Source organism: Homo sapiens, chromosome 11 (assembly GCF_000001405.40).
Source record: "Homo sapiens chromosome 11, GRCh38.p14 Primary Assembly".
Lineage (NCBI taxonomy): Eukaryota > Metazoa > Chordata > Mammalia > Primates > Hominidae > Homo > Homo sapiens.
In genome coordinates this window covers 87,176,983-87,200,855 of record NC_000011.10, presented here as the reverse complement: position 1 = coordinate 87,200,855, position 23,873 = coordinate 87,176,983, and the positions used below count along the sequence as shown (strand labels likewise).

Below are 23,873 nucleotides of genomic sequence, written 5' to 3'. Positions count from 1 at the left end.
CTATAACTTACTTTGGAAAAGGCAAAAATATGAAGACAGTGAAAAGATCAATGGTTTTCAGGGGTTTGGGCAGAGGGAAGGCTCAATGGATAACAGGACATGGGATTTTTGCAGCAGTGAAACTATTCTGTATGATGCTATAATGGTAGATACATGTCATTATACATTTGTTGAAGCTCACAGAAGATACAATACCAAGAGTGAATCCTAATGTAAACTATGAACATTGAATGATAATGATGTGTCAATGTAAGGTCTTTGATTGTACCAAAGTATATCATTCTGGAGTGGATGTTGATCATGGAGGAGTCTGTGCACACTGGGGAGAACAGTACCCTTTCTGTATTTGGAACTCTACATGGGAAGTTTCTCTATTTTCCACCTAATTTTGCTGTGTACCTAAAACTTCTCTAAAAATAAGGTCTGTAATGAAGAAGAAAAATTAAAGGAAATCACAAAATTACCTATATACTTTACAGAGAAATCATTTTATAACTTTGACCATCTTGAATTCCAAGATTACCAAAATCATAACAAGATAATTCAATTATACAGTTAGGTTATTTTCTTATTATATTTTTGGGTGTATTTAGAAGAGTCTAAAACCTGTGAAGGTTCATGTTAATTACAACTATTTAGGTGAGTAAGCTATTTCCTATTAAAATTAAAAGTTAACTATCATCCCATAATTTTAAATTATTATTTTACTTATCTAAGACTATAATTATTGAGTGAAAATTACTAATAATTATAATTTCAATGAGAGCTTTTTAACAATTATTAATGAAACTTACAGAAAGAAGCAAACCATATTGAAGATTAAATTGAAATTCCATTTAGTTTACAGTGCTAAAAGATTCAGAGGTTAATAATGGCAAATTTCTCTAATGGCTTTACAAACCCAAGTTATGTATTTATTTATTTATGAGATGGAGTCTTGCTCTGTCGCTCAGGCTGGAGTGCAGTGGCATGATCTCGATTCACTGCCACCTCTGTCTCCCAGGGTCAAGCAATTCTCCTGCCTCAGCCTCCCTAGTAGCTGGGATTACAGGCGCGTGCCACCACGCCTGGCTAATTTTTGTATTTTTAGTAGAGATGCAGTTTCACCTTGTTGGCCAGGCTGGTCTCGAACTCCTGACCTCAGGTGATACGCCTGCCTCGGCCTCCCAAAGTGCTGGGATTACAGGCATGAGCCACCGCTCCTAGCCACAAACCCAAGTTATTTTATTCCATCTTCTCCTTTACTCAGACCTACTCTAGTTTCCTCAAATGCCTCAACTAGAAATCTATATGTATCTACCTCATCCCCTACAAGCTCAGTAATTTTTAAATACTACCACTGTAGGCTCAAGTGAGCAAATTATTGCTCAGTCAGGTTCATTGACAGTAGTTCTAAAGTGAATGCTTGTCTATAAAACAGAGCTCTGGGTAGAGGCCATAGTTTTCTATGTTTACAGCTTCCTCACACAATTAATCTTGCAGCTGCACTTGATTAGTTTTTGACATGAACGCACCGTCTTGGAGAGGTCAATACAAGGAGGTTTCCATCCTCTTAACACTCCCTCTAACCTACCCTCTTCAGAAACATTAACCACTTGTAAAAGCATTGCACAAGGAGGTCAGGAGTTCCACCATGCCCAGCTAATTTTTGTATTTTTAGTAGCGACAGGGTTTCACCATGTTGGCCAGGCTGGTCTGGAACTCCTGACCTCATGATCTGTCTGCCTCGGCCTCCCGAAGTGCTGAGATTACAGATGTGAGCCACAGCGATAACTACTCATAATACAAGGTGTCTGTACTAGGTTTCCAATTCAGAGTATAACAAATATTTTCTAAAGCTAAGATGCTCCTTTCTGTAAATTTCCATGGCATTTTGTACATAATTCTATTATAGCACTGCATAGATTTAAAATATAAGCCTCTTGAGAGCAGGAAAATCCCTAGTGCCTAGCAAAATAAAAAAAGACATAGAAGACAATATTTGTTTGCTGAATTTATAAAACTAGGAACTCAGTCAAACGTTCTTCATTTCTAAGCATCTTTTTAAACTGTTGTTTCTATTATTTATACTTGTCTCTAACACCTGGTATAGTGCCTTTACATGGTACATGTTGAATCATCACTTGCTCATCCATTGCAAAAAAAAAAGAAAAGAGAGGGAGGGAAGAAATTGGAGGAAGTAAGAGAGGGAAGGAGGAAACAGGGAAAAGAGAAGAGAGGGAGAGGAGAGAAAGAGGAGATGGAAAGGAAGAGGAAGCAAGGAGAATGAGAGAGAGGGGAGCGGAGAGGGGAGGGGAGAGGGGAGGGAGGAGGGAAGGGAGGAGTGGGGGAGAAACAGAGCGGGGAGGAGAGGGAAGGAAAAACCAACTAACAAAAAACAACCTCAGACAACAGACATTTTCAGCTCAGGAAGTACCCTTATTAACTTTTTTGTTGCTGACTTTGTTTTGTTCTGTTTTGTTTTTCCCTAGAATACTCTAAGGGTTTTGAAGGGTTTCCAAGGATCCTGCTCTTGGAATACCAAAACCCTCCATCCAAAAACAACAGATCTGAAAGAGGTATCCTAATACAAATGTGTAGTAAAATAAATTGTAAAACGGATTTTGACATACATTCTTACTCAAATATGGGAACTAAAAAACTTTAATCTCATGTACATAAAGAATAGAACTGAGGAGGATGGTTGGGAGGATGTTTGATAACAGACTAGTGTGACTATATTTAGCAACAGTATTATGTATATTTAAAAATAACAAGAAGAGAGGGCTTGAAATGACACCAACACATAAAAATGATAAACACTCAAGGTGATGGATACCCCAAATATTCTGACTTGATCATTACGTGTAAGAAATACTCACATGTAGCCCATAAAGATTTACAACTATTATGTACCTAAAAAAATAAAAATAAAAAAGTATCCAAAAACTAAAAATAAAAATAGATAAATATTTTCTAAATGGATTTTGAGATGGAATTAATTTAACTGTTTTCCCAATAAATAAAATATACATTTTCTTCTCTGATAACATACAAATAAAAAAAACTTTTTAGTAACTTTTTCATTCTAAGTAGCATTGCATTTATATGATATCCCTAATAAGTGAATTTGCAAAACATACATCAAATAATTAAATATGAAATTAGGATTTAAACTTAGACTCATGCCAACGCATAGCCTCAAGTGACATTTTTTTTTTGCTAAGCTACACATAAAACCACACTGGCCATAAGTAAACCATGACAATAATAAAAAAACTACCAATTTTAACAGAATTGGAAAGTCCCATCATAAAGAAATCTATCAATAGAAGAAATTTAGCAAATTGCACTTAGTAACTTCAGACACAATTCTGTATCTAATGTCAAATTACAGGTTACCATCTCCTTTCTAGATTCTGATATACAAATATTTAGGCATCCAATAGCTTAAGATGCTTCCTGTTTTATGGGACAACACAAAGGAATTTAGTGTTTTTCCATTTATACTACTTCATAACTCTGTATGAGAGTCTGATACGTTTTACCCTTTATGCCGAATTAGAATTTCTTGCATTAAATTAAAAGAATATGTACTCGTCCAGCTATTGCACCTTCTGTTTATATCAGGAAACTTCTAAACATAATAGAATTATGTACAAAATGCCATGGAAATTTACAGAAAGGAGCATCTTAGCCTTAGAAAATATTTGTTATACTCTGAATTGGAAACCTAGTACAGACATCTTGTATTTTTTTCTAAAGAAAAAAAGTAAAAATTTTAATGCTGTTTGTCTAAAGACAAAAATAGCCTACATCTGAATTTCCTTTATTTTGGTACTATAAGTTTTGCTAATTTTTTTTCATTAGGAGAAATGTAACTATGTTTCATCAGTATCTCACCAATGCTCTAAATTGCTAGTTTATAAACACCAATATTTAACATCAGCAAAGGTTAAGAGATCCAAAATACGTATCCATTCTTAAAGTAATTTAAATTCAATTTTGGATAGTAACTTTTTAAAAAATTCTAAATACTTTTACAAGCCACTAAACATACACAGTGGATTATCCCACTTGGAAGATTATGCGTTAAAGTCTGAAAGTTCATGTTTTCATTGAAAATTTCACTGGCTCTGGTCTCTATCTTATCAGAAAGTCAGGAAATTCTGAATAAGTGGCTAGAATGTACATAAGTATATTTGAAGTCTACTTCCTGACAACTCCAAAAAGATCTTCCTGTAAAACTAAGCCTCAATTTCAGGTTCCCCCCATCAAATTCCCTAAAAATAATATTCCCCACTATAAACAAGAGAAAAAGAAAACAGTCTACTGCCAGGCATCTAAGCCTGATGTAGAAAAATGACAACAATTTTTAGGACCAAAAGATTTGCATATCCTAAAATAAACATGTAAATTTTTGGAACTTGATCACTTTTTAATAGTATTTCCTCAGCATCTGTGCCAAACTAAGTTAATTTCTTAGAAATTTTTTTTAAAATGTGTTAAATGATACTGTAACCTTAATAATCTTCATTTTTATTTTAAGCATATCAAATTAAAATATGAATATACCTGCAATATTTAATCAAATATTTAAGTTCAGAATTTGCAGACATTTCACCATTGCAAAGGATGATGAGTGTTACAATTCACTTTTTAGCACAAAATCCTAAAATATTTCCCCCAAAATCTGTCACAAATATTGTTCCAACATAATTTTACTCTCTCACTCAAATTATAAAGGAACATTTTAAAAACTGGTTTGTTTTCTTGGGTAATAATTCCAGCAAACAAAATGGTATCATTCCATACAAGTTTATAACTGCCATAAAATAGTCTCGCACAGATACTATGTAAAATTTTGGAACTTGATCACTTTTTAATAGTATTTCCTCAGCATCTGTGTCAAACTAAGTTAATGGTATCATTCCATACAAGTTTATAACTGCCATAAAATAGTCTCGAACAGATACTACATACTGTTTTTAAAAAACCACCATAAACTATTACCCAAATGCTTTTCTTTAAATGTCTTCAAATTTTACTCATTATTAATAACATCGAACATCAACATTGACAGGCACACCCTAAGCAACTGTAGGATGAAAATAACAGGCATGCAAAAACAATTTTTACTCGTGTGAAGTAAGAAAATGACTTTTTCGTCTGGGCACAGTGGCTCATGCCTGTAATCCCAACGCTTTGGGAGGCGGAGGCTGGCAGATTGCCTGAGGTTGGGAGTTCGAGAACAGCCTGACCAACATGGAGAAACCCCGTCTTTACTAAAAATACAAAATTAGCCAGCTGTAATCCCAGCTACTCGACTGGCTGAGGCAGGAGAACCGCTTGAACCCGGGAGGTGGAGATTGCGGCGAGCTGAGATCATGCCATTGCACTCCAGCCTGGACAACAAGAGTAAAACTCCGTCTCAAAAACAAGAGAGAAAGAAAGAAAGAGAGAAACAGAGAGAGAGAGAGAGAGAAGGAAGGAAGGAAGGAAGGAAGGAAGGAAGGAAGGAAGGAAGGAAGGAAGGAAGGAAGGAAGGAAGGAAGGAAGGAAAGAGAAAGAAAGAGAAAATGACTTTTTCAATTATACAAATTAAAATTCATCATTCTTGTCAGAATCATATTTTAAAAAAAGAAAAAGAAGACAGGGGAGAAGGAAAGAAAGACATTTGACAGTAAATAAATTACCTAAATTTGGATGGTTGGATTTGCATTCGATGTCTTGCAAAGAATACTCATGTTTCTTGGTAAAACAAACATAATTCAGATTTTAATAAGCTTCCTTCAGATAACACATAAAGAAGACTAAATTTTTAATGTATGTTTCACACTTTAAATAAAAGGCATGCTTTGTTTCTAAAAAGTAAAATGTATAATGCTGATATGGTTTTAAAATTTAAAAAGTTAGAAACAAGCATTCATTAAGTAACATATATGCATCATTTTAGTAAGAAAATATAATTCATCCATTTATGAGTTTATGTAAAAGATAACCTCATGACACAGTATCAAGAAATTAGCAAGATACCTATAATTTCCTTTAAAAAAATGCCACAACATTGACTTTCACGAGAGCTCTAAGTACACTGGATTTAGTTAGGTTTTCCCTTCTCTATTTCCATACTTACAGCAACTACTGACTTCAAAGAGAATTATGGAAGATGAACAGAGAATATGAAGAGCAACAGGAATCTTGTTCAATATAATAAATTAGGAACAAGAAGGCAAAAATTTTAACCAGAGTTTTTATGGGTGCTTTAATTTGTATATTTTATGATAACCAAGTTTTCCACTGTATATACACATACATACAAATACACAACACACACACACATACACAGGTATTATTATTCTTTAAGAAGGTGGAACTATAAAATGTAGAATAAACTATACTGTACAAGTAAATAGTAGTAAAGATCTGACACAGGATAGTACAAGAGAATTTCAAAAGTCTTTGCCCACTAAACGATTTGAGATTTTTTCATTTGCAGAATAGTATACAGTTAGCTGGACTAAAATACTGCAAACTTTAGCATAAGTAAGAGTGCTTTTTAAGTTCAACCACAGCTGCCAGTTGTCTTGTGGAGGTATTTTGTTGATTTTAAGAATACGTGCAAGAAACAGCAGCTTTCCCAGCACTTCAGTCAACAAAGATCTACATTTACCAATTTTTTTTTAACTTGTGCAGAAAATATGTTGTCTTTTGTGTGGAGCCACAGTTTCTTTTTCATTAAATGAAATGGAAGTAAAATCCATTAAAAGGCTTAAAATTCACACAGGAACAAACTCTTTTAAATGTGTTTAACTGATTCAAAACATTTTATGAAGATTTTAAAGAATAAACATGAATGTCATGAACATTACTACATTAATCTTCTCTGCTAGTAAGTGAAAAAAGCAAAGATAACAAGCCTATGGCTTACCACAAAAATTCTTTATCACAGTCCACAGCAATACTTCAATGCACACAAATTAAATAAATGTATTGTGTATCTACTGTATCCTAGCATGATCATAGGCCTATTAAAAAATTCAAAACAAGTATAATGTATGACTTCATATATACATACAAATATATATGTTTATATAATATATAATATAATATATAAGAATATATATGGTCTTTAAGTGAACAATTCAAGACTTAAATCTGAACCAACTAAAGAAAAAATTTAAAAAACCTAACTGAGTTCTTAATTCTTTATTTCTGATTACACATTGAAAAGAGAAGTCAGATATTCTTAATTACATAAGCCACAAAATCAAAAGCTTAACAATTATTCCCTGGGTACTTAGAAGAAATTAACAGTTATCCCCCCACCAAAAACAGTGATTTTCAATTCTCACTACCAAATTAAAGTAATTTCATATCTGGAGTCTCATCAATATTTAGCTCTTGGGAAAAATAAATGGGAAAATAAAACAGAAGAACCTGAAAATTTTGCAGATTACAAGGAAAATGGATAAAAATTAGCAGAGGCTAAACTAAATAACAATCTGTATCTTAATCTATATGAAAACTCTAGATTAAGTGATTTGATAAATTTGTCTTATAATTTTCAAGTATCTCCTAAATATTTCTTGAATCAGATCTCACCACCACTACACCCCCACTTAGAATCTGCTAGACACAAGCTCCTCAAGAGCAGGTACCTTGTTGTCTCCACTCCACTGCTGTGTATCACTCAGTCTTAACTTAATGATGGCCTATTATATATGATGAAAAAAGAAATGAATACACAAAAAATGACAATTTTTTTTTTTGAGATGGAGTCACCCAGGCTGGAGTGCAGTGGTGCAATCTCAGCTCACTGCAACCTTTGCCTCCCAGGTTCAAGTGATTCTCCTGCCTCAGCCTCCCAAGTAGCTTGGACTACAGGTGGGTGCCACCAGGCCTGGGTATTTTTTATATTTTTAGTAGAGACGGGGTTTTCCCATGTTGGCCAGGCTGGCCTTGAACTCCTGATCTCAAGTGATCTGCCCACCTTTGCCACTGAAAGTGCTGGAATTACAGGCGTGAGCCACCATGCCCGGCAAACCAAAATATTTATTAAAAGCAGTATACACGGCTCACCCACACATACAATCACATTCTTATAAATATGTAAACTGGTTTTATTAAAAATGAATTTGTACCAGCCTTTATAAACAGTAATAGATCTAGAAACAAAAATTCAAATTGTTTTATCAAATTACATGGAATAAAGCTTATTTCTCTTATTTATAAATAAAATAATAGCTGATATCTTCAAGTAGCACACACATTTCAAAAGAACATAGGCGGTTTTTTGAAAACTCTTACATTCACTCATATTTACCTAATTGCCTTCAAAAACAAGTTAAAACACAAACATGGGTAAAACAAGTTTACTTCTCTTTAAAGAACTGATAAACTTCTGATGTTTGCCTTTATATAACATACATAAATACGTAATTCATTTTATTCCTATTGACTTACAGCAAAAAAAAGAAACAATCTTCTGAATATAAATTTGTCTTTAAAATTTAACCTAAAAAATACTGAAATTGGTACCAGAAATGGCCTTAAGAAAGACAGACATCTACATAAATCAATTATAAAAGAAATAGAAGTGGCTCATGCCTGTAATCCCAGCACTTTGGGAGGCCAAGTTGGGCGGATCACGAAGTTAGGAGATCGACACCATCCTGGCCAACATGGTAAAACCCCGTCTCTACTAAAATACAAAAAAAAAAAAAAATTAGCTGGGCACGGTGGCACATGCCTGTAGTCCCAGCTACTCGGGAGGCTGAGGCAGGGGGATCGCTTGATCCCAGGAGGTGGAGGTTGCAGTAAGCCCAGATCGCGCCACTGCACTCCAGCCTGGAGCAAGACTCCATCTCGAAAAAAAAAAAAAAAAAAGAAAAGAAAAGAAAAGAAACAAAAGAAATAGAAAAACCAGTAATAGAGCTCTCAAAAAAATGCCCCACGTCCAGATGACTTCTCAGGAGAATGCTAGCATACTTTTTAAAAGTATAAACTCCCAATGCTACTTTAAAATTATTCCAAAAACATAGATAATAAGGAAAACTTCTAAGTTATGTCTTTAAAGTGAGTATATAACACTGATCCCCAAACCTAAAAACAAGGCAGTCAAAAAGAAACTACACAACACATATCAATTGTCAACACTGTTGCAAACAATTCCGAATAATAGACTCTAACAGGAAATGCTTAGAAATCATATATGATGATCATCGTGGTTTTAAAATATATCCCACAAATTCTTCACTTCTTCCTTCCAAAGGTAGTAGAATCTAATTCTTCCCTGCCCCAAAGTGTTGACTGTACTTAGTGAATCGCTCCTAATGAATAGAATGGTGGCTCACACTTGTAATCCCAGCACTTTGGGAGGCCGAGGCAGGCAGATCACGAGGTCAAGAGATCGAAACCATCCTGGCTAACACTGTGAAACTCTGTCTCTACTAAAAATACAAAAATATTAGCCGGGCGTGGTGGCGGGCACCTGTAGTCCCAGCTTCTCAGGAGGCTGAGGCAGGAGAATGGTGTGAACCCAGGAGGCGGAGCTTGCAGTGAGCCGAGATCGTGCCACTGCACTCCAGCCTGGGTGAAAGAGCGGGACTCTGTCTCAGAAAAAAAAAAAAATACTGCCAAAGTAAGGGTGTGTGACTTCTGATATCAGGAGATAATAGACATTGTGGCTTCCTCCTTGCCCTATCTTAGGACACTCACTCTAGAGGACATAAGGACGAAGCAAACTTATGGAGAGGTCAAGCTGGTGAGGAACTAAGGCCTCCTTGCAACCAGCCGGCAAGGAATTAGAGTTTTGTGTCAACGGCTATGTGAATGAGCGATTTTGGAAGATTCATAAGAACCTATGTTGCAAATTAGTAAACTATAGTATGGAATAATGAAGAATAAAACAACTGTAGTTAATGAACCAAGTAAAATAAAAGTAGTGGTTATGTTGATATGCAAATACATATTATCCAAAAACTGGTAACCAGCAAAGAAAATTTTAAAATAGTATATTGTCTGTGAATATACAATTTAAGTATACATGAAGACAAAAAAATAGTAAGATCGAGAAATATCTATTGCAAAAATAATAAACTCATTGGTTACACAACCTAGACCACAATAGAAAGTCAGGAAGACATCAAATATCTGCTGCTGTCTTTCTCTTTCAGGTCACTCTCCAAGGACCTTCTGCTCTGATTCTGTGATACTGGTAGCCTTCAGGAATCTCCTTCATATTAATGCTAGCTTCCTTAACATTAATGACAAATAGTTTACCTAGCACTTTAAAGTTTTTTTTTTAAGGCAACTTTGTCTCACAGTGATTGCCAACAAATACCTACAGAGAGTTACCTTTTTAAAAATATCTTAGAAATTTCAAGACTTCTAAGTATTTTAGAAGTTTCAAATTTTCCAATTATTAAAACACCATTGAAAAAGAAAAAAACTAAGAAAAAGTTTGCTTGATTCTTGTTTAAAATTCTCTCTCCTTCTCTCTCCCTCTCTCTCACCGAACACCATCATTACCACTACTTCTCTTTTAACCAGATGGTTTTCTGTTTTCCATGGCATTATCTACAATAATCCTCACAGACAGCAACCAAAAATAAAGTGGAAGTAGTCAGTGACAGTACTTCACAGAGATGCTGATTATGTTTATCAGGGAGTAGTAAGAGCTTTGAAGTCTGGAGGAAAATCTATAAAGAAGCAAGAAAGAATTTGACAAGTAGAACCTATTTCACAAGATTATTAAATAAAGTATATGAGATTTTTGTAAGAGTTCTCTTAGAAATCAGATTCAAAAGTATCATAAAGCAGTTCCTTTTTCTACATGACTGATTTAAAAAGAAAAGTGCTGATTTTGTATCTACTGTTCTGTCTTTGGCCTTTCCAAATGATTTTTTATTTTATGTATTTTATTTATTTATTTATTCATTCATTCATTCATTCATTATGAGACAGGATCTTGCTCTGTCACCCAGGTTGGAATGCAAAGCATGATCAAGGCTCACTGAAACCTAAACTTCCCAGGCTCAAATGATCCTCCCACCTCAGCCTCCCAAGTAGCTGGGACTACAGGCACATGCCCGGTCAATTTTTTTTTTTTTTTTTCTGTGGAGACGGGATCTCACTATGTTGAGCCCAGGCTAGTCTCAAACTCTTGGGCTCAAGCATCCTCCCTCTTTGGTCTCCCAAAGTGCTAGGATTACAGGTGTGAGGCACTGTACTTACCCTAATTTTTTTAAATCTATTTAATAGTAGTTTCAGAATGTATACTTCACAGTTCTATAAATATTTTTGTCAAACAAATGTGTAATCAGTGGGATGCCACCCATGAGAAGATATTCTGTCTGCCATCCTCATCACCGTACAAATTTAACTGCTTCTATCAATTAAGAAATGTCTGACAGGCTGGGCACGGTGGCTCACGCTTGTAATCCCAACAATCTGGGAGCCTGAGGCAGGTGGATCACCTTGGGTCAGGAGTTTGAGACCAGCCTGGCCAACATGGTAAAACCCCGTCTCTACTAAAAATATAAAAATTAGCCAGGCATGGTGGCACATGCCTGTGATCCCAGCTACTTGGGAGGCTGAGGCAGGAGAATTGCTTGAACCCGGGAAGCAGAGGTTGCAGTGAGCCGAGATCACACCACTGTACTCCAGCCTGGGAGGCAGAGTGAGAAGAAAGAAAGCAAAGAAAGGAAAGGGAAAGGGAAAGGAAAGGGAAAGGGAAAGGAAAAGGGAAAGGGAAAGGAAAAGGAAAAGGGAAACGGAAAAGGAAGGAAAGAAAGGAAAGGAAAGAAAAAAGGAAAAGTAAGGAATAGCATTATTACAGACATGAAATATTGAACACAACCCAAATGTTTAACAACAGAATGAGTAAATAAATTATGGTATAACTATACTATGGAATAATTATAGTTATGAAGAATAAGTTGAACTGGCACATGTACCAAATGTTCATATAGATGTATGCATTTATGTGAAGATGAATACAAAACAGTCAAGGATACATCAAACCATTAACAGTGGTTAATCCAGAAGGCAAGAATAGAAAAGAGTGAAAAAACAGGGATACTCGTTTTTTACTTTATACATTTTTACATATTTTGAAATTTTGTCAAGTATTAATAGTGTATATTGCTTCTATAATTTTTTTTTTTTTGAGACTGAGTTTCACTCTTGTCACCCAGGCTGGAGTGCAATGGCGCGATCCTGGCCCACTGCAACCTCCACCTACTGGCTTCTAGCGATTCTCCTGCCTCAGCCTCCTGAGTATCTGGGATTACAGGCGCCAGCCTCCATACCTGGCTAATTTTTGTATTTTTAGTGGAGAGGGGGGGTTTCATCATGTTGGCCAGGCTGGTCTCGAACTCCTAACCTCAGGTGATCCACCCACCTCAGTCTCCCAAAGTGCTGGGATTACAGGCATGAGCTACCACGCCCAGGCCGCTTCTATTATTTTTTAGCTACCCACTGGAAACATTAAAAGACAAGATAAGGGTAAAAAGAGGGTGAATAAAACGAGACAAAATACAGAAAGCTAGGCTATAACTTCTTATTTTTTTCAGACTTGAATTCAAATTGGCTCAATTCAATTAACCTAGAGAAACTCCAAGACTTCATCATAAAGCCCTCTGTATGAGATTGAGGGGTGGCGTATGAACAAAAATATGACTGTACAAACTACACTGGCTTCCTCTACAACACTCTAAAGAATCAAGCATAAGAACACCACATAGCGATCTGCTGAACTTCACCATCACAACAAAGGGGGTTCTGTAAGGGAGCTCTCTCTCTCATTGTTCAACACTGAACTTGTAAGTGGGAATTCTGAATAAATAATCTTTAGCAAAATATCCTGTAGCATAAACACAAAACACTATTTCTAAACAAAGACAGATAAAGACAACATTAACTGGGTCTCTAAGTATAATATAGTCTAAGAAGATTTAATTTTGAAAGACTGGCAAATAAACAGCCCCTAGCCAGGCATAAGTAATATTCTGTACTAGATGAATGAACGGTAAAAGAATCTGATTTTGCTTATTTTCCCACAAACAACAAGAAGTTGTTGTAATTGGATGGTGGCTAGATGTTTTCTTTGCAATTTTACAATTTGGTTGAAAAATGTTCCAATCTTTAAGATTTGAAGTTATAAAATACCATCAAAAGATTATCAATAGTCAAAGTACTATACGCATTAAGTAAATTTAATGGCAACTACGTTCACACACAAGTGCATACAGACACATACACGCACAGCATGTTTCAGCTCATCTTACCATACAATCATTACAACAAACTACATTTTGTTAGGGCACAAAGAGAGTGTGGTTTGAGGATCCATGACAGTTAAGGTCAAGATCTGCAAGATCCCCAAAGCCCATGGGAGGGTTATATCGAGTTCAATAGGATCTATTAGATTTGGCAGTTAGTGTTCCAACTCAACCACAATACTTTATGACAAATAGTAACTATTTCTCCATTCCCTGTTTTCATCTCACATGAACACATTAATCAGAATCTGGCCTCAGGTATTCCACATGGTCAACTTAGTACACATACTTTCCCTGCTGGCCCCTCTAACTTATTGCTCTTTACCTTGGAGACTTTCTGTGAAGCACCGCTATGTAACCTCTGGCACATAAGTTCAAGCTAACCCTCTGTGGGAAATAAATTGTAAGAGTTTTATTAATGAATTCTTAACTTGGCTTGACATAGCTCCCCATGAGACACAAAGCAAGCACTAAACATTTAAAATCTCAAAGTCAAAATAAGTTTGAGAACCCAGTAGGATAAAGTAAAATATTCTTAGCTAATCATAAGCATTTGGTCAAACTATTATGTTAGATAAGACCCACCTGATTATAAATCATAAAATCAAAGTACCCATAGTATTAACTACACAATAATTATATTTTCTAGTGTATCCCCTATAAACATTGTTTTATTATCCTTATTATCCTTAATATTTCCCCTCTCTTGTTTTACAAAATCACTTTCTGCTCATTCCTCCACCAATTTTAAATCAAAATGTGGGATATCACAGAGTAAAAAAATTAGGCCATAAATCAGGTGACTCTAATTACTGAGTTTCAAAATGTTTCACAAACAAAATCATAATTTTATAAATCTTTATATTTTCCTACTATTAAGTGGAGATAATTTTAATAAATATATACGAGGTTAAATGAGTATTACAATGTGAATTATTCAAATCTCCTGTGAGAAAAATTTTAATCAGCTTTAAAGATAAACTTTATTAACAAAAAAAGATGAACTTTATTGTAAGTAACAGATTTCTCAAGGGGAAAACTAAATCCCACACTACTAACTTCATAGTGGACAAATCTTTTAAAATCATCCACTCCTATATCCTATACAACCAAAATTATATCAGATGAAAACTTTAATTCATGGGGTATGAGTAACTCTTAAATAATAAAACACTATATAAGTTAAAAATCCTTTTGTGAAGTAACAACAGTCCCTTGGGGAAATGGCTGATTGTAGCTGGGGCCAGGAGCTATACAAGATGAACCTAGAACTTCTTATCTTACCAGACTACTACTAGGGTTATAGCCAAAGGATTCAGAAGGCAACTTGTAGAGGTTTCCACTGGCCAAAAAAGGGACAACTTTACCTTCAAGAAGGATAACTACAGCTGGGCACGGTGGCTCATGCCTTTAATCCCAGCACTTTGGGAGGCCAAGGCGGGCAGATCATGAAGTCAAGAGATTGAGACCATCCTGGCCAACATGGTGAAACCCCGTCTCCACTAAAAATACAAAAAATAGCTGAATGTAGTGGCACATGCCTGTAGTCCCAGCTACTCGGGAGGCTGAGGCAGGAGAATCACTTGAACCTGGGAGACAAATGTTGCAGTGAGCCAAGATCACGCCACTGAACTCTAGCCTGGTGACAGAATGAACCTCTGTCTCACAAAAAAAAAAGAAGGATAACTACAACAGATTGAAACACACAAAATATGTTTAAATCTATGATTTCCTAATAATGATTTATAAAACATCATTACTCATCTTTTGAGGATTTTTATAAACTAATGCATCATTTTGAATAATGTTAAATAAAGGGAGAAAAATCAAGACTTTATCTTATCTTTCCCATATGAAAGGCAACCAAATAGTTGAAGAATACAAGTTTCCCTTTACACAGGTATTCTAACTGATAAAAGAATATATCCATTTTGCAAGCCTAATAAACACAAGTAATGATAGGTAATCGTCACCAATGACTGCTAACAAGACATACAAACAAAGCCAACCAGATATTATGTGTCTCTTCATGGAAGTACACAAAACCAATTATGATTTATTTCTGAGAGGAGAAAAAAAAACACCACATATGAATTTAATCAAGCCTCTAGATCTATTACTGATTTGCAGGAAATACAGAGAACCAAGAAAGAATACCACAAGGATCAGCAAAAATCAGACTGTGAGAAGCTTTACGGTCTGGTTTCTTCAATAAATTTCTAGGAAACCATAGAGAGAGGGATGAGGGGGGAACCAACCAATTCAAATAAATTTAAGATCTTAACTAACTGGAACATATAGATCTTATCTGGATTCTGATTTTAACAAATGAGAGAGAGGTGACTGGGAAAATGTGAACACTGACTAAATACGATAATAAGGAAAAATTTTTCAGTGAGATGAATAGCATTGTGTTTATATTTTTAAAAGGAGAGTCCTTATCTTCTAAGGATACATACTGAAATATTTACATAGAGTGATATGATGTCTGAAATTTGCTTCAAAATTATTGAGGGAAGGTAGTAGTGGTTAGGGATATAAAGAAGACTGGCAATCAGTGAGAATTATTAAAACTGGATGATGGCTACATTGGGGGATTATCCTCTTTACTTTTGTATAAGTTTAAAATTTTCTAAAATAAAAAGAAATTTTAACTGAAAAATCATTTTATAATATACAAAGTGGCACCCTAAGTTTTTATTTAGCAAACAGGATGTTTGCCATACTGGGTTTTCACAAAGGTAAACCAACGTGTGTTAATACTTCCATCTTGGGTACATTAAATTCTTATAAATCATTGTTAACTTATAAGAGTATGTAACAACATCAACATTCCAGGCATTGTGCTAGAAGCTACAGGCATTCAATACAAAAAGTAATCTATACAGAATAAAGACAGTGATTTCATTATATTTAGAGTCTCTTATATAACACAATACTATTTAAGGGAAAAAAAGAGGGGGGCATCTTACACACACTATGAAATACACATAAAGTCCACACAATTTGTCATATCTATAGTTTCTCAAACATATTTGCCACTAGAAACTCCTTCATTTACTATATGAGCTAAGCAGTTCTAAAATTCACTATGTATTGTCTTTGTTTTTAAAGACCTAAAGTAATCGTCAGACCCTTCATTCTATGAATTTTTTACCCAAAGGCCATTTTCTTAGTCTAAATTACAGATTAATTCCTCATGATGCATTTTTCCCAGACCAACATTAAAAGTCATACTCTATTACTACTGAAGGCTGAAAACTGTTAAATAAAATAATTAATCCAATTATTCAGGTAATATTAAATAGAAAGGCTATCGAAAATCAAACAGTTCTTGTGCAATAAATATGTGATATTCATATACCCATTCTTTAATTTTTTGATGACTTCTTTGGATCACAGATAATTCACAAAACAAATCAGAGACAAGGTTTTAATTTCACATATAATATTCTAAAAGAACAAACAAAACAACTATGACACTAAGTACTTTATGAAGTTAAAACATTCTAAAATACTTGAAAAATATATTGCAAAATTTTTCTAAGTAGAAAATGTTCACTGAACGTGCTCTTAGAACAAAAAAGGTAAATATTCGTTTAACTCTCGGATTTTTTTTTTTTTTTTTTTTTTTTGCGACGAAGTCTGGCTCTGTTGCCCAAGTTGGAGTGTGATGGCATGATCTCAGCTCACTGCAACCTCCACCTCCCAGGTTCAAGCGATTCTTCTGCCTCAGCCTCCCAACTAGCTGGGATTACAGGCGCCCGCCACCACGCCCAGCTAATTTTTGTATTTTTAGTAGAGATGGCGTTTTACCGTGTTAGCCAGGCTGGTCTCGAACTCCTGACCTCAGGTGATCCACCCACCTCAGCCTCCCAAAGTGCTGGGATTACAGGCGTGAGCCACCGCACCTGGCCAGAATTTTTAAACACATAGCATATAGAAAGTAAGCCCATTCACAAGTTTTAGTGTCAATGCATACATTTCAATTATCCTAAGAAATCCACCTTACTTTTATCAGACAATTTAACCGCAATGTCCTTTTTGAAAATAGTGTTTTAGGAATTAAAACATTAAAAGCTAAATTTAACTTACCTTTAACTTTACTATTGAGTATAGAGAAAACAAATAACAAAAAAATTTTAGTGATAGCCAGGTGTGGTGGCTCACACCTGTAATCCCCACACTTGGGGAGGCTGAGGCAGGCAGATCACAAGGTCAGGAGTTCGAGCCCAGCCTGACCAACATGGTGAAACCCCGTCACTACTAAAAATACAAAAATTAACCAGGCGTGGTGGCACACACCTGTAATCCCAACTACTCAGGAGGCTGAGGCAGGAGAATCGCTTGAACCCAGGAGGCAGAGGTTGCAGTGAGCCAAGATTGAGCCACTGCACTCCAGCCTGGGCGACAGAGCAAGACTCTGTCTCAAAAAAAAAAAAAAAAAAAAAAAAATTAGTGATTACCAACTCATGTTAATTTTAAAAAATCAGTAATTTAGACAGCTACAATTCAGATACAGTAGAGCTTTCAGCTTCAATCAATAGCTTTCTCTCATTGCCCTCCATTAACCTCAACTCTTGGAAACATGTTCTCCTGGAATTAAAAGTAATCAAATCCTAACAGATTATATGCATATGATTAAAAATTCTATCTAATACCATACTAAGATCCTAAGATAAATATAATTCTAGTTATATTCTATATAAAAGTAGGCCATTACACAAAGAAAATCACATTTAAAATATTTAGCAGTAAATATTCAAGAGAAAAATTTAAAAACACAAATGAAACAATTTTAAAAGTGAGATCTATGAAAGCAGAAACCATAGCTCATTTATTATTACATTCACCTGTGTCTAGAAAACAGTTAAAAAACACAAAAATTTTCTAGAGAAAAAAATATTTCATAAAGGAAATCTGATCTTCCATGAAGTAAAATAAAAAGTAGTAAATGAAAGTACCTTCAGACATCTCCATAATATTAACATTAAGGTCAATTGTTTTAATAATCAAACACTGTGAAAGAAGAAAAGCAAACAGAAATTGCATTTGCCATATACTTAGATGTTAGTGATGCAAGGAGATTCAAATTTCTGCTCACAAACACATATTTCTCATCATCTACCACTCACAGCACCTTAGTCAAGGTGCTACCATTTAAATCATTTTATCCTAACTAGGTATATACAATTATTACAGATTATATTCAACAACCTGTAATAGATGAAGAAGATCCAGTATTACAAGTCTGGGCAATGGACAAGAAACCATAACTTAAACACAATCAAAAGAGAGCTTTTGTTCCTTTTTCTTATCTTAATTTGAGTGCAGAATCTGTTTAAAATAGCATGTAGGTCACACAATATACACTGTTCACACATAATATTAATAAAAACTAAAAAACGTACATTTCATTTGAAATGCAAACACACTAAACAAGTTTTCATGAAAAGGCAATAAGTAGAAACTTCATTTTAATACTAGTAGATATTACATATAAAAATATTATTCTATATTTTTAGTTTTGGCAAATGCTTTTCAAGTTCTTTTTCTTACACTTTAATAAGAATATTAAGGCTTACTCTCATTTCAAATACACTCCATGAAAACAATTCTCTCTTTAAAAAAAAAAAGCCACCCTCATTCAAAAGGAAATTGAATAGTTTATCATCATACAGAAACACAAACTACAATGATTCAATTCTTATAAAAGAATCTGTAGAACTAGCCTCTTTAATTGTGCACCTTAATCTTCAATATGCCAGGTGAAATCATTAGAACCAAAGTGTTCTGAGCACTACTGCTCTCAATACTTTTTTTATCTTAAGAATTACTTTTTAATATTTTAATTACAATAAAATTTACTTTATAAGTTTTAACCTATAATTTATAGGTTTTAACAAATACATGGAGTCATGTATCCATTATTAGTATCACTATGCCGAACAGTTTCATCACTCAGAAAATTCCCTCATTCTGTCTTTGTAATCAACCCTTCCCTGTGCTTCCAATCTCTGACAAACACTGATCTGGGTCTCCATGTCTACAGTTTTTGCTTTTGCAGAATGTCATATAAACTGAATCACACGATATTTGGCATTTTTGGAATTTACTGAATATTATGAATCTGTAAATGTGTCTTTCACCAAAGATGAACGTTTTCAGCTATTATTTCTTCAGTATTTTTTCTGTACCAACCTCTTTGTCCTCTCCTCTGGGTCTCTTATGACGTAATTGTTATACCTTTTCTATCATCCCATAGATCTCTACACTGTGCTCATTTTATTGTCTTTTATCTTTATTGTTCAGATATTATAATTTCTATTGCCCTTTCTTCAATTTCACTTAATCTTTTTTCTGTCCCCTCCATTCTGCTGTTGAACTCATCTAGAACATTTTTAGGTATTTTAGTATTTTAATATATTTGGATTATTGCTACTTCCTATCCTAAAAGTTTCTGTTGGTTCTTTTTCTACTTTCCTTGCTGAGAACTTCATTCTTTCTGTTCACTTCAAAAGTGTTTGCTCTGACTTCAACAGGACAGAGTTATAATAGCTGCTCTAAGAACTTTGTCATAATTCCAGCATCCAGGTCATCTTAGGAATGGCATTTGTTAGCTGCTGTTTTTCCTACAACAGTTGATGATTTCCCTGAGTCGTGGTTATGTCCAATAATGTTGGAGTGTATCCCAGAAAGGGGAGGGAGACTTTGAATATTGCATTTTGACACTCTTGGTCATGCTAAAGGCTTTTGGTCCTCTGGAGAATGGATTTGTTTTTGTTTTCGTTTTTAATATTTTTGTTGTTGTTGACAATCAACCCTGTTAGCTTCAAACCACAAGTCCCAACCTACCTGGTGGGCTGTGACTTCAAAGTCAATTCAGTTTCCCAAGTCTTTTTAGTGATATTTACTCTATCCTCATATGTGTCACCTAAAAGCCAATCTAGGACAAAGATGGTGGTCTACAATGTAGTTCAGTTATCAAACTTTTTATTTCATCTCCTTGAAAAAGTTCCACACATGCTCAGCTTAGGGATGTCTGGGTCTTCATGCACAGATTTAGGTCATCTTTTTCTCTACCTACTGCCTCTCCATAATTTCCCCAACACTATCTGTCTCCTAGACCCCTTATCTTAATTCTCTGGCTACAAAACTGGTGTTTTTGCCTCCACACACACTCATATACTTTCTGCAACTGCATCTGCCTTGGGGAGAAGTGGCAAGAAAGGGGGGAAAAAAGCAAAAACTAACAGATATTCTCCCCTCATTCTTTGGGCTACAGGGGCCCGTTTTTCCCGTTTATCTGGTCAAAGAAAAAGATTATCTTTCAGAGTTTTAAATGCCTGCATAGTTGCCATTGCCACCACCACTACCATTGCAGGGGAACGGCCTCATGATTAAGGCTTACTTGGGGTCCCACCAGAAAAGTAAAACAAAAACCAGAATACAAAACACAAAGAAAACAGTGATGTTCCACACAGACTCCTTCGCACAGGGGCCCTTCTTTCCAGTCCTCTGACCATAAACAGAGAAAAAGAGGATTCTTCTGTCTGCATCTGTTGTGCAGACCAAGAATAAGATGCCCTGGAGTCCAAGCTGGGAGAAAAAGAAAGGGGAAAAGGGCAGAGAAAACAACAACAACAACAACAGAAAAAAACAGAAAACTTGCCAGTATCAGTCATATCTCCAGGTTGGAAGTGCATCCTGAACCTCCTGCTATTATTTACTCTTCAGAGACCTCAAACAGCTGTGCTGTGTATTCTGTCCAGGGTTTTTAGTTGGAATGCACGGGACAGAGTCTTGCTCCATATTAGTAGAATCAGAACCACAGAAATTCTAGACATAAATCCTGATATTTATGGTCAACTGTTTTTTAACAAAGATGCCAAAGCAATTCAATGGGCAAAGACAGACTTTTCAAAAAATGCTGCTGGTACAACTGAATACACACAGGCAAAAAATTAAAAAAAAATGAACTTGGATTTTCACCTCAAACCGTATTTAAAAGATGAAACAAAGACTTATATGATCTGAAGAGAAACCAGAGTATCTCACACCATATTTAAAAGTAAACTCAAAACAGATCACAGACCTAAATGAAAAACAAAGGAGAAAATCTTTGTGACCCCCAACTAGGTAAAGATTTCTTGGATATGATAGCAAAAGTATAGCTCCTAACAGAAAAAAAAATTAATGAATGGAACATCATCAAAATTTAGAACATTTTGTCTTCAAAAAGCACTATTTAGAAAGTGAAAACACAGGCCACGATCTGGGAAAATATATTCCCAAATCCTATATTTAATAAAAGATTTGATCCAAAATGAAAAACTTTTCAAAGTCACCTCCTGCAATTCAGTAATAAGACAATAAACCCCATGAAAAAAGGGCAAGAAAATTTAATAGACATTTCACAAAATGTATACAAATGCCCAATAAGCACTATGAAAAGAAGTCCAACATCACTAGTCATTAGGGAAATGAAAATTACCATAAAAATTACCATACATTTCTAGAATGGCTATAATAAAATAGTCTGATCATACCAAATGTTGGCAAGGATGCTGACAAACTGGACCCCTCATACACTGCCAAGTGGCAATGTAAAATGGAACTACTTTTTTTTTAAGCATTATTCTTATGACCTAACAATTCTACATTTAGGTATCAAGCCAAGAGAAATTAAAACATATGTCAACCCAAAGACTTCTCTCCAATTTTCATAACTGAAAACTGGAAATAATCCAAATGGTCAATTAATATGTCCATAAACAAAATGTAATCCAAACAATGGAATACTATTCAGTCATGAAAAGGGAAAAAAAAAGTACTGATATGAATGAACCTCAAAAACATTATGTTGGACAGGCATGGTGGCTCACACCTATAATCCCAGCAATTTGGGAGGCCGAGACAGGCAGATCACTTGAGGTCAGGAGTTCAAGACTTACCTGGCCAACATGGTGAAATCCCGTCTCTACTAAAAATACAAAAATTAGCCAGGTGTAATGGTGCACCCCTGTAGTCCCAGCTACTCAGGAGACTCAGGCAGGAGAATCCCTTGAACCTGGGAGGCAGAGGCTGCAGGGAGCTGAAATCACTCCAGCCTGGGGAAGACAGTGAGACTCCATCTCAAAAAAACAAAACGCATTATGTTAAGGAAAGGAAGGCAGACTCAAAAGGGCATATATTGTATAATTACATGTATATAAAATTTTCAGAAAAAGAGAGTTTAGATTGTGGCATAATAAAAATATATCTGGACTTTGTTCCTAGTTCCTGGCACAGGGCTTCAAAAACCCTTGGAATTTCAAGGTGACAGTACTGTCTTTGCTATGCTGATGAGGTTGCTCATGGTGATAGCTTCCAGCTAGGGACTGGTCACCAAAAAAACCAAACACATGATTAGAGGGTTGGAACTCTAGGCCAACAGCACCTCCAAGGACAGGAGGGGAGCTGGAGACAGTTCAATCACATGGCCAATAATTTAATCAATCACACCCATATACTGAAACCCCAATAAAAGCTCTGAACACTGAGGCTTGGTGGACACACTGACATGCAGAGAGGGTAATGTACCCTGACTCTACAGGGAGAGGGCATGGAAGCTTTAGGTCCAGGTCCCTTCCAAACCTTGTCTTATGTGTACCCTTTATAATAAAACTATATAACATTTTTAGTGAGCTCTGTGAGTCATTCCAGAGAATTACTGAACCTATACATTTGGGAATCTCCAATTTTATAGTCAGTCGTCAGAAGCATGAATGTTCTGCATTTGTGGCTGGCATCTGAATTGAGAGCAGTCTTCTGGAGGGCTAAACTCTTAAACCTGTGGAGTCTGATACTAATTGATGGGCAGTTAGTGTCAGAACTGTATTACAATATACCCACAGAGGGCGGAAATGGAAAAAAAGAGACAAAAAGATTAGTGGTTACCTGGGCCTGGGAGTAGCAATGGGAAGTGATAGCAACAAATATTTTTTAGAGTGATAGAAATATTCAAAAACTAGATTTGATTATGGCTATATAACTCCATAAATATATTTAAAAATTACTGAATTACACACTTTCAGTGAGTATAACTTATGGCTATTATACCACAATAAAACTGGTTTTTAAAATCTAATAAGTTTCCAAGATTATAGAAGGCATTCAAAGTTATAATAATCATGTATTTCTTCATTCTGTATTCTCATAATGAACACCAAATACTTATTAAATGCAACAGTCAGTGAAAAAATAACAAGAAATGAAGGGTTTCAACTGTCTTAAGAGCATTCCATTAGATATACAGAACTCTATCAAAATTAGCAATGATAAATGAGGTTAAAAATCTCACAAGTAGGATGTAGGATGTAGGTAGGATGGATTAGGTCCACATTTTGTGGAAAATATTTTAAAATGAAAGGGCGAGGCAATGGTAAAGTGCTTTCAATTGGGGCAATCTGGAGTTAGCCAATGCCCTATGTGCTCTCATTAGTCTCAGAGATTTTACGGTCAACTGTGATTCTGCCTATTAAATGTTCTTTCACTTGATGATTTTACAATCCATTACTGAAAATTATATCAAAAGGACTGCTAGCATGTATATTATATTAATATTAA

The 23,873-nt window shown here is 35.2% G+C and overlaps 1 protein-coding gene across 5 annotated transcripts in view, besides 1 other annotated feature; it reads right to left on the bottom strand.

Annotated features, from left to right (window-relative positions):
* Positions 1–23,873, bottom strand: part of TMEM135 (transmembrane protein 135) — a 290,891-nt gene that overhangs the window by 127,969 nt on the left and 139,049 nt on the right. The window lies entirely within an intron of this gene.
* Positions 4,022–4,222: a silencer, noted in NCBI's record as "peak1382 fragment used in MPRA reporter construct". NCBI's record gives its function as "represses an SCP1 promoter by STARR-seq MPRAs in K562 erythroleukemia cells {active_cell/tissue: K562}" and the evidence as "EXISTENCE:reporter gene assay evidence [ECO:0000049][PMID:32103011]".